The sequence below is a fragment of the Homo sapiens genome, chromosome 1, assembly GCF_000001405.40.
Source record: "Homo sapiens chromosome 1, GRCh38.p14 Primary Assembly".
In the NCBI taxonomy this organism is placed as follows: domain Eukaryota; kingdom Metazoa; phylum Chordata; class Mammalia; order Primates; family Hominidae; genus Homo; species Homo sapiens.
Window position 1 is genome coordinate 60641225 of NC_000001.11, and position 15422 is coordinate 60656646.

Sequence of the window (15422 nt, forward strand, 5' to 3'; positions counted from 1 at the left end):
ATGCAGAAGCCTCAGGAGCCGATGCGATCAACTGGAAGAAAGGGTATCAGCAATGGAAGATGAAATGAATGAAATGAAGCGAGAAGGGAAGTTTAGAGACAAAAGAATAAAAAGAAATGAGCAAAGCCTCCAAGAAATATGGGACTATGTGAAAAGACCAAATCTATGTCTGATCGGTGTACCTGAAAGTGATGGGGACAATGGAACCAAGTTGGAAAACACGCTGCAGGATATTATCCAGGAGAACTTCCCCAATCTAGCAAGGAAGGCCAACGTTCAGATTCAGGAAATACAGAGAACGCCACAAAGATACTCCTCGAGAAGAGCAACTCCAAGACACATAATTGTCAGATTCACCAAAGTTGAAATGAAGGAAAAAATGTTAAGGGCAGCCAGAGAGAAAGGTCGGGTTACCCTCAAAGGGAAACCCATCAGACTAACAGCGGATCTCTCAGCAGAAACCCTACAAGCCAGAAGAGAGTGGGGGCAAATATTCAACATTCTTAAAGAAAAGAATTTTCAACCCAGAATTTCATATCCAGCCAAACTAAGCTTCATAAGTGAAGGAGAAATAAAATCCTTTACAGACAAGAAATGCTGAGAGATTTTGTCACCACCAGGCCTACCCTAAAAGAGCTCCTGAAGGAAGCGCCAAACATGGAAAGGAACAACCGGTACCAGCCGCTGCAAAATCATGCCAAAATGTAAAGACCATCGAGACTAGGAAGAAACTGCATCAACTAACGAGCAAAATCACCAGCTAACATCATAATGACAGGATCAAATTCACACATAACAATATTAACTTTAAATGTAAATGGATTAAATGCTCCAATTAAAAGACACAGACTGGCAAATTGGATAAAGAGTCAAGACCCATCAGTGTGCTGTATTCAGGAAACCCATCTCATGTGCAGAGACACACATAGGCTCAAAATAAAAGGATGGAGGAAGATCTACCAAGCAAATGTAAAACAAAAAAAGGCAGGGGTTGCAATCCTAGTCTCTGATAAAACAGACTTTAAACCAACAAAGATCAAAAGAGACAAAGAAGGCCATTACCTAATGGTAAAGGGATCAATTCAACAAGAAGAGCTAACTATCCTAAATATATATGCACCCAATACAGGAGCACCCAGATTCATAAAGAAAGTCATGAGTGACCTACAAAGAGACTTAGACTCCCACACATTAATAATGGGAGACTTTAACACCCCACTGTCAACATTAGACAGATCAACAAGACAGAAAGTCAACAAGGATACCCAGGAATTGAACCTCTGCACCAAGCAGACCTAATAGACATCTACAGAACTCTCCACCCCAAATCAACAGAATCTACATTTTTTTCAGCACCACACCACACCTATTCCAAAATTGACCACATACTTGGAAGTAAAGCTCTCCTCAGCAAATGTAAAAGAACAGAAATTATAACAAACTATCTCTCAGACCACAGTGCAATCAAACTAGAACTCAGGATTAAGAATCTCATTCAAAACCGCTCAACTACATGGAAACTGAACAACCTGCTCCTGAATGACTACTGGGTACATAACGAAATGAAGGCAGAAATAAAGATGTTCTTTGAAACCAACGAGAACAAAGACACAACATACCAGAATCTCTGGGACGCATTCAAAGCAGTGTGTAGAGGGAAATTTATAGCACTAAATGGCTACAAGAGAAAGCAGGAAAGATCCAAAATTGACACCCGAACATCACAATTAAAAGAACTAGAAAAGCAAGAGCAAACACATTCAAAAGCTAGCAGAAGGCAAGAAATAACTAAAATCAGAGCAGAACTGAAGGAAATAGAGACACAAAAAACCCTTCAAAAAATTAATGAATCCAGGAGCTTGTTTTTTGAAAGGATCAACAAAATTGATAGACCGCTAGCAAGACTAATAAAGAAAAAAAGAGAGAAGAATCTAATAGACACAATAAAAAATGATAAAGGGGATATCACCACCGATCCCACAGAAATACAAACTACCATCAGAGAATACTACAAACACCTCTACGCAAATAAACTAGAAAATCTAGAAGAAATGGATAAATTCCTCGACACATACACTCTCCCAAGAGTAAACCAGGAAGAAGTTGAATCTCTGAATAGACCAAAAACAGGATCTGAAATTGTGGCAATAATCAATAGTTTACCAACCAAAAAGAGTCCAGGACCAGATGGATTCACAGCCGAATTCTACCAGAGGTACAAGGAGGAACTGGTACCATTCCTTCTGAAACTATTCCAATCAATAGAAAAAGAGGGAATCCTCCCTAACTCATTTTATGAGGCCAGCATCATTCTGATACCAAAGCCGGGCAGAGACACAACCAAAAAAGAGAATTTTAGACCAATATCCTTGATGAACATTGATGCAAAAATCCTCAATAAAATACTGGCAAAATGAATCCAGCAGCACATCAAAAAGTTTATCCACCGTGATTAAGTGGGCTTCATCCCTGGGATGCAAGACTGGTTCAATATGCACAAATCAATAAATGTAATCCAGCATATAAACAGAACCAAAGACAAAAACCACATGATTGTCTCAATAGATGCAGAAAAAGCCTTTGACAAAATTCAACAACACTTCATGCTAAAAACTCTCAATAAATTAGGTATTGATGGGACGTATTTCAAAATAATAAGAGCTATCTATGACAAACCCACAGCCAATATCATACTGAATGGTCAAAAACTGGAAGCATTCCCTTTGAAAACTGGCACAAGACAGGGATGCCCTCTCTCACCACTCCTATTCAACATAGTGTTGGAAGTTCTGGCCAGGGCAATTAGGCAGGAGAAGGAAATAAAGGGTATTCAATTAGGAAAAGAGGAAGTCAAATTGTCCCTGTTTGCAGACGACATGATTGTATATCTAGAAAACCCCATTGTCTCAGCCCAAAATCTCCTTAAGCCGATAAGCAACTTCAGCAAAGTCTCAGGATACAAAATCAATGTACAAAAATCACAAGCATTCTTATACACCAACAACAGACAAACAGAGAGCCAAATCATGAATGAACTACCATTCACAATTGCTTCAAAGAGAATAAAATACCTAGGAATCCAAATTACAAGGGATGTGAAGGACCTCTTCAAGGAGAACTACAAACCACTGCTCAAGGAAATAAAAGAGGATACAAACAAATGGAAGAACATTCCATGCTCATGGGTAGGAAGAATCAATATCATGAAAATGGCCATACTGCCCAAGGTAATTTACAGATTCAATACCATCCCCATAAAGCTACCAATGACTTTCTTCACAGAATTGGAAAAAACTACTTTAAAGTTCATATGGAACCAAAAAAGGGCCCGCATTGCCAAGGCAATCCGAAGCCAAAAGAACAAATCTGGAGGCATCACACTACCTGACTTCAAACTATACTACAAGGCTACAGTAACCAAAACAGCATGGTATTGGTACCAAAACAGAGATATAGATCAATGGAACAGAACAGAGCCCTCAGAAATAACGCCGCATATCTACAACTATCTGATCTTTGACAAACCTGAGAAAAATGAGCAATGGGGAAAGGATTCCCTATTTAATAAATGGTGCTGGGAAAACTGGCTAGCCATATGTAGAAAGCTGAAACTGGATCCTTTCCTTACACCTTATACAAAAATCAATTCAAGATGGATTAAAGACTTAAACGTTAGACCTAAAACCATAAAAACCCTAGAAGAAAACCTAGGCATTACCATTCAGGACATAGGCATGGGCAAGGACTTCATGTCTAAAACACCAAAAGCAATGGCAACAAAAGCCAAAATTGACAAATGGGATCTAATTAAACTAAAGAGCTTCTGCACAGCAAAAGAAACTACCATCAGAGTGAACAGGCAACCTACAAAATGGGAGAAAACTTTCGCAACCTACTCATCTGACAAAGGGCTAATATCCAGAATCTACAATGAACTCAAACAAATTTACAAGAAAAAAACAAACAACCCCATCAAAAAGTGGGCGAAGGACATGAACAGACACTTCTCAAAAGAAGACATTTATGCAGCCAAAAAACACATGAAAAAATGCTCACCATCACTGGCCATCAGAGAAATGCAAATCAAAACCACAATGAGATACCATCTCACACCAGTTAGAATGGCAATCATTAAAAAGTCAGGAAACAACAGGTGCTGGAGAGGATGTGGAGAAATAGGAACACTTTTACACTGTTGGTGGGACTGTAAACTAGTTCAACCGTTGTGGAAGTCAGTGTGGCGATTCCTCAGGGATCTAGAACCAGAAATACCATTTGACCCAGCCATCCCATTACTGGGTATATACCCAAAGGACTCTAAATCATGCTGCTATAAAGACACATGCACACGTATGTTTATTGCGGCATTATTCACAATAGCAAAGACTTGGAACCAACCCAAATGTCCAACAATGATAGACTGGATTAAGAAAATGTGGCACATATACACCATGGAATACTATGCAGCCATAAAAAATGATGAGTTCGTGTCCTTTGTAGGGACATGGATGAAATTGGAAATCATCATTCTTAGTAAACTATCGCAAGAACAAAAAACCAAACACTGCATATTCTCACTCATAGGTGGGAATTGAACAATGAGATCACATGGACACAGGAAGGGGAATATCACACTCTGGGGACTGTGGTGGGGTGGGGGGAGAGGGGAGGGATAGCATTGGGAGATATACCTAATGCTAGATGACGAGTTAGTGAGTGCAGTGCACCAGCATGGCACATTTATACATATGTAACTAACCTGCACAATGTGCACATGTACCCTAAAACTTAAAGTATAATAAAAAAAAATAAAAAAAATAAAAATAAAAAAGAAAATATGGGAAAGGCTAAAAAAAAGAGGATTACCAGAGTAAACATAAAGAAAAAAAAATGGAAGTAAGAACAGAAATAATACACAGGAAAGAAAGAAAAAAAGGAATAAATACATATATAACAGAAATTTTTATGAAACAACCATACTTCTGAAATCCTGTATAAAACTGATATATTTTTAGAAAAATATAAAGTGCCAAGATTGGCACATGAAAAATTAAAAAATTTAAATAGATTGGTAATCTTTTTTAATGAAATGGTAACCAAAACCTTCTGCTATTCTAAAAATTCACGAACCTAGACAATTTTCCAGATAACACAATAAAATAGTATTTTAAAGAAATTTTTTAAGATTTCATTTTTTAAGAAATAAATATTCTAATTTAAACAAGTTGTTTTTTAAAAAAATTTTAAAAGGTGGAAGTACCCTATTCACTTTATTTTTAATATATACTTGATACCAAAACCAGATGGCAATGTGAGAAAATAAAAACATAAGCCAATTTTAATTTTTAAAATAGATGCAATATTCACACAAATGTTGGCACAAAAATGTTTATAGCAACTTTATTCATAATTGCCAAAACCGGAAGCAACCAAGATATCCTTCAATAGGTAAATGGATAAACATACTATTATTACACACTCATATAATGGAATGCTAGTCAGTGATAGAAAGGAACAGTTTATTAATCCATACGACATCAGTGACTCTTACATACATATTCCTAAATGAATGCAGCCAGTATGTAAGACTCCATACTGCATGATTCCATTTATATAACATTCCAGAAAAGGCAAACTGATGTATAAAGAAAACAAATCAATGGATACCAAGGATTTCTGGAAGGGAAGAGTTGACTAGGGGAAGCACAGGGATTTTTTAGGGCAGTGAAACTGTACAGTATTTAACCATAGTGGTGGATTCATACCACCATATATTTGCTGAAACCCCAAAATAGATTTTAACAGCCCAAAAAGTAAGCCTTATTTTTAAAAAAAATTAATTAAAGCATTGGGGGAATCACAGGATGAAATTCAGACAAAGACAAAAGTATATAATTGTACTACAGAGGTATGGCATAACCTCTCTGAAGAGAGTGGCCAAATAATAATAATAATAATAATAATAATAATGCTGACCTAAGTAACTTTAGAAATGACTGGGAAGTATAAGACTACAAACACAAGCACTGTCCTTTAGTTGGCCAAGTTGTTTCTCACAGAAGGATGGGTTAACAATTCTAAAACTACTGTACATATATACTAGGATTAAACAAATTAGTACAACAATGTTGGATGGCGGAACCAGGTTTCTCACTGTTGGAGAGTGACATAACAGGCTAGCATAGGCAGAAGACTATAATGAATCATGTGGGCTGGGTTAGGGTTGGAAATATCACTATAAGCTCATATTTAGCTTAATACTAATACAGATAGAAATAATTATAGAGATAGAAATACACACACATGTACACACGCATACACACACAGCTTAATATACATACATGTATTTTTTAACTGTCTGTGGAAAGGGCCTGGAAGCAATTATACCCAGTAGCAATGATCATATCCAGTTCTCAGATTTTGGTTTCTATCATCATCCTCCAATAAAAGGAACTAGGGATCTGTACTAGTCTATTTGTATTGCTATAAAGGAATACCTGAGCTGGGTAATCTATAAAGAAAAGAGTTTTTTTTGGCTCACAGTTCTGCAGGCTGTACAAGCATGGCACTAGCGTTGCTTCTGCTGAAGCCCTCAGGAAACTTCCACTCATGGCAGAAGGCAAAGGGAGCAGGCATGCCACATGGTAAGAGAGGGAACAACAGAGATTCGAGGCTCTTTCAAACAATCAGCTGTCTCATGAACTAATAGGGTGAGAACTCATTAATGCAGGGAGGACGCTTCATGAGGGATCTGGCCCCGTGACTCAGACACCTTCCACTAGGCCTCACCTCCAACACTGGGGATTGTATTTCAATGTAAGATTTGGAGGGGACAAGGATCCAAACCATACATGTAACCTTGAGAAAATGGCTGATTCTAGGACTACAGTAGAGAATATACAAGATACATCTGAAGCATCGTATAGTACCAGAAAGTCACACACAATGATAGGAGTATGTCAAAAGGACATAAGAGCCCATTAAAAGAGCTTGCAAAGATCAAAGTTGGAATAATTTGAGCAACAACACAAATAAAAGAGTACTGGATTATAAGCCAAACTATAAACTAGAAATTTATGGATCCATAACAATATACATAAGAATCAAATAAAGAAATGAGGGAGAAGAGACAAATCTACCATACAAAGGAATTCCAAATAATGTATGTAGATACTGCCTATTAAGGAAATGGAGACGGACTCCCCACCCCTTGAGTGTGGACTGTGCTTAGTGACTTGATTCCAAAGAGTATGGTATGAAAAGGAGGGAAGAGAAAATAATTTTTTAGTGCAGAAGCTTGGCAAATACTACCTCAGCCGGGTGAGCAAGGTTAATATCATCAGCTATGTCATGTTGATAGTATATACGCTTAATATAAGGGGATAAGAATGACACTTCACCTCTTTGGTCTTCCTCCTAAAAAATCATAAGCCCAATCTAACCATGAGAAAACACCAGATGATTGGTATCACATTCCATAAAATACCTGACCAATATTCCTCATAACAATCAACGTCATCAAAAACAAGTTATGTCATAGTCCAGGAGAAATTAAGGAGACATGAAAACTAAATAGAATGTGGAATTATGAGTGGGATTCTAGAACAATAAAAGGATATTAAGAAAAACTAATGAAATGCAAATATAGTATGGAGTTTAGTTAACAGCAATGTGTCAATATGGGTTCATTAGTTGTGACAAAAGCGCCCTACTAATGTAAGCTATTGACAATGGGAAAGATTGGGTGTGGTGTGTACAGGCGCTCTCTGTACTTTCTGTGCAAGTCTTCTGTAAATACAAAACTATTCTAAGATAAAATACTTATTTAAATATAGATTTTAAAAATCTAAAATAAAATATTGGCTACCAAATCTTAAAGCATAATACAAAATAATCATCATGATTCCTGACCTATCAAAAAAATTGATTAATAATTTTATAACATTAAAAGACCATCGAGAAAAATCTTAAGATACAGATGTTGATATTTATAGCAGCACTACCTGTCATAGCCAGGAGCTGAAGACAACCTAGGTGTTCAATATTGAGATAATGAATAGATATAAAGTGGCCTCGCATAGAATGAAATATTACACAACATTTAGAAATAATGAACCTAGATGCATATTGAAAAAGGCATAGGTTTAAAAAAATTCAGTCTTCAATGAAAAAAGTAAACAAAATTATATTTACTCTTTATACATCTATTTATTTAAAAACATAAACAATAGGTACATTTTCAATGGTTTACAAGCACTCTATGCCCCAGGTACTAATCAATTTTATACTATATATATATATATATATATATTAATCTATTTAATTCAGTGAATAATCATACACAGATTAAGAAACTGAGGTACAGAGAAGCTAAACAGCTTGCCTCAGGTCACACAATGCAGTCTGGCAGGGTGAGGAGTTGAGCCTGGTCTCCTAAACCTGCATTCTTAAACAGCGTGCTCTACCACCTCTTCTGTGACAGGTGGTTTAGAGGGCACATATCAAATATACCATTGTGGTGGTAATTGAGGAGGGGGAAGAGATGGTAAAGGTGGAGAGAAAGAACAAAAAGAGCAAGTAGTAAAATATAGCAAAACCTAAAGGGCACCTACGAAGACTGATGATGAGAGTGAACTAGACTGAGGAGCATGATTACTTTAAATCATACATCTGATGTTTGAAAAATATAAAGTGCTGACATTAGCCAGAAATGTCTGATTACTCTTCAATCTTAGATAACCAAACATTTTAGATACATGACTTTTTACTAAATCAGCACCTTTTTAGGCCAGAAATGTCTAGCCTAGCAGACTCATGAGTATTTGCCTGAAGGACCTGAAGACAACTCCCAGATCCCTCAGCTCTGAAGACCTACTCATCCCTTGCTTAGACTGTTGCCCCAAACCACATATTTCTGATTTGTGCTTGAAGTTATTGACTGGACTTTCTCCCAATGCCTGAGGCCAGTTTACCATCCAGCACCCACTCCTCACCTAGTGAAAATGCCTATTTATTTTTCTTTTACTCTTTTTTGCCCCTCGGTCCTGGCATTTAGACCCTATATCACACACAGTTGGCCTCATGTCTATCCTGTATCTGTCCATCCATCTGCCCAAGCATGTATTCATTCAACAGACACTGAGTCTTTGCCATGTGCTATGCACTGCACCGGCAACCAAGGGCACCAATCGTGACAACAAAAATCTCACAGTTCAAAAAGGAAGACACAATTTTAAAAATAAATGAATGCAATAAAATGAAATTTAATTAACTGGATTATCACCAGTATTAATAAAATAACGTATATAAATAGCTTAACATGTTTGTAAAAAGTCCTGTAGTCAATTTTTAATAGCTACATCAACGTGCACAGAGCTTCCCAGAGGAGGGCATCCACTTAAATGTGGGCCATTCATTTATTCATTCAGTAAAGTCAGGCACTGTGAAAGGTGTTTGTGTAGAGTCAGCTAACTGAGCACCTAAAAGCTGCACTCCTGTTTCCAAAGTATTGAAACAGCTTTCAATGAGAAGTGGTTGGCCAACCTGAGATCATATTTACCATCATCTCTTGCTTTCAGATGAGGCCATGAATATTTGTTTGAGCGATCTTAGCCACTGTAGCAAGGCCATTCCAACATTTTGTTGACAAACACAATAAAAGTTTATTCCAGTTCACCTGCAGTAAAATGCAGGTAGTCTTGATAAATGAGGAAGGAAGCATTCTATACAGTCATTCAGAACCCCAGGTTCCTTTATTTAGGGGTTCTTCCATGTCCCAGGGCCTTCCGCTGTAAGCAAATAAGAGGGTAAAAAACTATACCCACTTTTAACCATTTTGGCTCAGGTGTGACGTACATCACTTTCATTCACTTGTTGTTAGTGAGTACTTGTAATATGGTTTCTGCGTTACACAAGAGGGGATTTTGTAGTACCTGCCTGGACAGCTGCTTTCCAAAGACAACTCCACATAGTTAAAAAAAAAAACATGAATTTTTAAAGATATGTGACCAGTTCTCAGCAATGAAATGCAAGAAGTACAGAGCATCACTTATGAAAATGGCAGCCAGTGTGCCATTTCCCCCCTTTTCTCTTTGTTCTAGAGAAGGTTCCTCAAGAATCATTGAGCAAAAAATTGGAGCCCTGATCGCCAAATCACCACATGGAAAAAAATCCTACCACCTACAGGAATGCTTCCTTGGACTATATTCAGATCGAGAGACAAGTTTCTCCTAAGCTTATCTACTAATGTATTGGCATTTGTTTGTTACTGCAACTAGAATTGCCCTAATTAATAAACTATTACAACTCATTAATAAAAACTCTATAAATAGTAACTCAATAGATGACTCCACACCTTGCATGGCCCAGAGTTGGAGTGCAATAAATATTTTATACTTGCCTGTTTGCAATTTCTTTAATGTCTTTTTGAGAATGCGGTAGCCTCTTTCTGGTTAAATTACTCTCCACACATTTTTTTCTCCCAAGACCCTCAGGATGTCGACTGCGGCCCTGCCGCTGCTCATACTAATGTGAAAAGAACAACTTTATGATACCCATTCAGTGTCAGGGGTATTAAAACAAAACAAAAAACCTGATACTTTCTCTACAGCACACTTCCCTACTTGCCTACACATTTTTGAGACCTTTTCTTCTCTCACTCTTCTTTACGGTATGAAAAGATAGCCTGCTCTCGAATCACATCAATTTGAATTAATCTACACAGCTGTCTTCTTTAAATGAAGTACAAATGTTTACCATTGTAAAAGGCATGAATTATTAAAACTTTAAGAACAAACCTAATATGATTTGAAGCTTCCAGAAAGGCAAAAGAGGTCAGATGTCATCCGTATTTAGTCTGCTTGGGCTGCCATAACAAAATACTACAGACTGGGTGGCTTAAACGACAGAAATTTATTTCTCACTGTTTTGGAGGCTGGAAGTCCAAGACCAAAGTCCCTGCAGGTTTGGTTTCTTCTGAGGCTTCTCTCATTGGGTGGCAGATGGTCACTCTCTTGCTGCCTCTTTGCATGATCTTACCTCTGTGCACGCCCATGCCTCATGTCTTCCTCTTCTTATAATGACACCAGTTCTATTCAATTAGGGCCCTTCCCTTATAACAACATTTTACCTTAATTACCTCTTTAGGTGCTCTATCTCCAAATACAGTCAGGTTGGGAGTTAGAGCTTCACCATATAAATTTTGAGAAGACTTAATTCAGGCCATAACACCATACTCAGAGGCACCTTCTCTTCATTCCCAAAGAGCTCATCGCTGTATGTGTCACAAACTTGAGGAAAGACTTATATAGTCTCTACCACAAAGACCAGGGCAATTGTTGAAGAAGTTTCATTTGCCCCCATCTCCTGCTGAATTAAGAATGGTCTAGAGTTCTCTGAGTTCATTCCTTAATTTACTCACTAGCAGAAAACAGAAGCTAAAATAGTGTTTCAATGGCAACGGCATTAATATTGAAGTTTGACCTGCATTTGAATGCTAACTCTGATACTTGTCACCTATATGGCCTTGGGCCAATCATTTCATGTATTGGAACTTCAAGTTATTCAGCCTTAAAATGGTAAAAATAATGTCTACTTTACAGGATTAAAGTATTTTAAAATATGTAAACCACGTGGTGTATTAGTTTCCTATTGCCAGCCAATATTACCATAAACTTAGTGGCTTGAACTAACACACATTTATTCTCTTCTAGTTCTGGAAGTCAAAAGTCTGTGAGGAGTCTTATGGGACTAAAATTAAGGTGTTGCCAGGACTGGTTCCTTTTAGAGGCTCCAGGAAATAATCCATTCCTTGCCTTAGCTACTTTCTAGAAGCTGCCACCATTCCTTGGGTCATGGCCTCTTCCTTCAACTTCAAAGCCATCAGAGCAACATCTTCTCTCCTTTCTGACTTCCTGCCTTCATCTTATAAGGACGCTTATAATTACATTGTGCCAACCTATAATCCAGGAAAATCTCCCCATCTCAAGATCCATATTTTAATGGCATCCGTGCAGTTCCTTTTGCCACACAAGGTACATATCCACAGGTTCTGGGAATTACAACACGATCATCTTTGTGAGCCATTACTCAGCCTATCACACATGACTTACTGTAAATCAGGGTAGACATCTGCTGGTTATGCCTGCAGAGTATCTCCTGGAGGAAAAATATTTCTTGCCTGCGGAGTAATTTCTTCCAATTGAAATGTTGCGGATTGGGTTACAGTTCCCAATTCCTCATTCTCTCCTGATATAGAATTAGTATGCATAACCTTTTCCATGTGTCTAGAGTAGAGGAAGAATATTCCCCAGACTACTGATGCTTGACTTGGCCATGTGATTTGCTTTGGCCAATGGAATGTTTGGCCAATAGATATGATGTGAGCAGAAGTGAAGCTTTAAATGTCCTTGCTTGGCTTGGCTTTTGTCTTGAGAAAAGGATGGGCTGCACAACGCCTGGTCCCAGAGCAAAAGACATGTGGAACAGGCTTATACTCAACCCATACTCTGAAGCAGAGCTTCCCTAGCCAACCTCTTAGCGGAAATAAGATGTTTATTCCAGTAAGTGCCTTAGATATTTATGTCTTTTATTTAGCTCTAGTGCAGCAATAACTGACTAATTAAGGTACCCAACTTTTCCTTGGAGAAATCTCTCAGATTAGGTTCCCCAGAAGCAGACCCTGTAACAAGGACTCATGGGAAAGTGATTTATTTAGAATTATTCCCAAGAAAACCGGTAAGGGTGTGGTTAAGTGCAACTAGAAAATATTTAGTATCATAAACCCAAGTAGATGACTTTAGCTCAATTCCACAGAGAAGCTCTAGAAACAGTATAGAACACACCTGAGAGAGATGTTTCCACCAAGAGAAAGGAGCTAGAGTATTCATACCCCACCCTTACCACTCCTAAGGGCCGCCTTTAGGGACACATAAATTCTCTGCTCTCCATGGGCACAGGCAAAGCAGGTTCTGACAACCTGAGGGCAGCTGCCTGACAAAAAGATATAGGGAAATGTTGCTGAGATCCTAGGAAGTATGGGCAGAACACTGAGAGTATCTGCTACACCACCCCTCCCAACTCTCCATCCATGAATTCTGTTCAAGTGGATTCTGCTCCCAAATCCAGGCTAGGCATGTGACCCAAGCCTGACCCATCAGTGTATTCTATCACCCTAGCTTCAGCAGTAGATCCAGGATGAGCACATAATTCAACTAAGTCTAATCAGAGAATGTCTTGGGAAATTTCATGAATTGACTAGAAAAGGGGTACTATCCTTATGTTGATGTTTCTGAGAAAATGGGGGTATAAGTCAACTTTCCTGAAAATGGGGACAACCAGAAACAAAGCAGAGAAGTCACAGGAATGAGCCATCCAATAACTCTGATTTGAGCCTTTTTTGGGTTCAGCCATACCTAGCTCCTACTCTAGACATTGCAGTTAAGTCACCACTTAACTGACTAATTGACTGTTTTACTCAAAACAACTAGAAAGATCAAATGTAGCCCAATATCACTTTATGTAAGATCCCTGTACATACCTTTATTTCTGTTTGTGGAAACTGTAATCATTCTCCAAGTCACTGCTCAAATTATTCCACCTTCTCTGGGTCCCAGTTTCTTCAACTATGTCCCCCAGAAAGTGGTTGGAAAAAAATTAAACAGCATGTACATGAGAATCTGTCCAGCCCCCATGTCTGTGATGCACTAGGTGCTTAATAAATACTTTTAAATCAATTTTGTAGATTATCAAAACCAACTTAAGCATAGCTATAAGATAAGCTTTGTAGTTAGTTCCCATATTATTCTATTAAACAAGGTCTTTCTACATCAGTGATCTTGTTTTTTTTTAACCTTTTCATTACCTACATTTGCAGAGATGAGGAAAATCAGTGTCATTCCTCTAACCCAGTATAACTCCAAGGTTACCCCTGGGATTGTGGGGGAACTTACTGAGAAGCAGAGAAAGATAAGTGTGTTTACTGGGTACTTATTATGTGCCAAGCACAATGCTCAGTTTTACAGAGATGTTAATTCATTTAATAATCAAAACCATCTTTACGAAGGGACGTTATTGTTCTTGTTTATCAGATGAGAAAACTAAGACTCAGAAACATTAAGTAACTTATCCAACATTATTCAACAAAAGAGAAAGAGAATATTACTGCAGAGAGTACATGGACATTTAGGGATGAAGGGAACTAAAATCGTATCAATTACTAGCTACATGAACTTGAACCAGTAACCTCACAGCTTTGTAGGAATTGACAGAGATAATGTCTATTAAGCCCGGCTCATGGTAGATATGAATTAAATAATGATCCTGCCTTCTCCTAAGCAGCAATGGAACTGTGACTTGACCCCACTTCTGTCTAATGCCAAAATCCATCTTTGCCCCTCCTAGCCTCCCTGCAATAGAAAGCTGCAAATGTGGAGCATGAGTCTTTGCATAGTGCAGAGCTGGAAAAGGATTATCATCCACCACCACCTTAGAAATTGAGTATTGAAGTATTGATTGACTTTTATTTAATATGAATTTCTAAAAAACCTCTCATCTACTAAAGGTTCCTTTGAAATTATTAGCCTACAGACATTTATGGTTACATGGCATATGCAGCTCTAATATAAACAGATCAACCCCTCTCACTCTTATTTTACACTGCATCAGGCACTGAAAACTAAGTCTGATGTAATAGATCTCTTTTGTAGTTTTAATCATAACAATTGTACCAAATGACTTTTTTGTGCATGTGATAACATCATAATGGAAAACCAAATCGATAGCATAGTTCTCAATCTAATTATATGCCTTGCATTTCTAACCCAGCTTTAATGAAATACAATAAGTGGTAGTGTGGAAATTAGAAGAGGCTGGAAAAAAAGCAGTTGCAAATAATACTGTCAGTGACAAGAATAGAAGTATGACGATGCTGGTCTGTGTGAACAATGCCTCCCATTGTGACTATGCAATAAAAAGCTCCCCCACCACCCAAAAAATGAGGAGGGGGTTTATCCAAACAAATCATCATTTTCAGCAACAAGCACTTTTTACAAAACAAGCCTAGGCTACAGCAATTCAAAAATGTTTAAGGAGCCTCAGAGGTTGCAAAACTTATCTACATGCAAACCTCCCCTTTTTCACTTCTTAGGCCACCATCTGATACACACAATAGCACCTTAATATAACTTTTAAATAGCTACTTTCCTTATTTAGAAAAGTAATCATGCTTATTATAGAAAATCTGGAAAACACTGGAAGAGACATAGAAAAAAGTACAATAACCCAAAATCTCACAGTCAGAGATAAGCATAATTCACATTTTTCTATATTTCCTTCATTTTTTTCTAAGAATATGTTACATATTTGAAATGATATAATAATCTTATTGAAAGCATAGTCAGATATTTCAAAGTAATGAAGTTGAT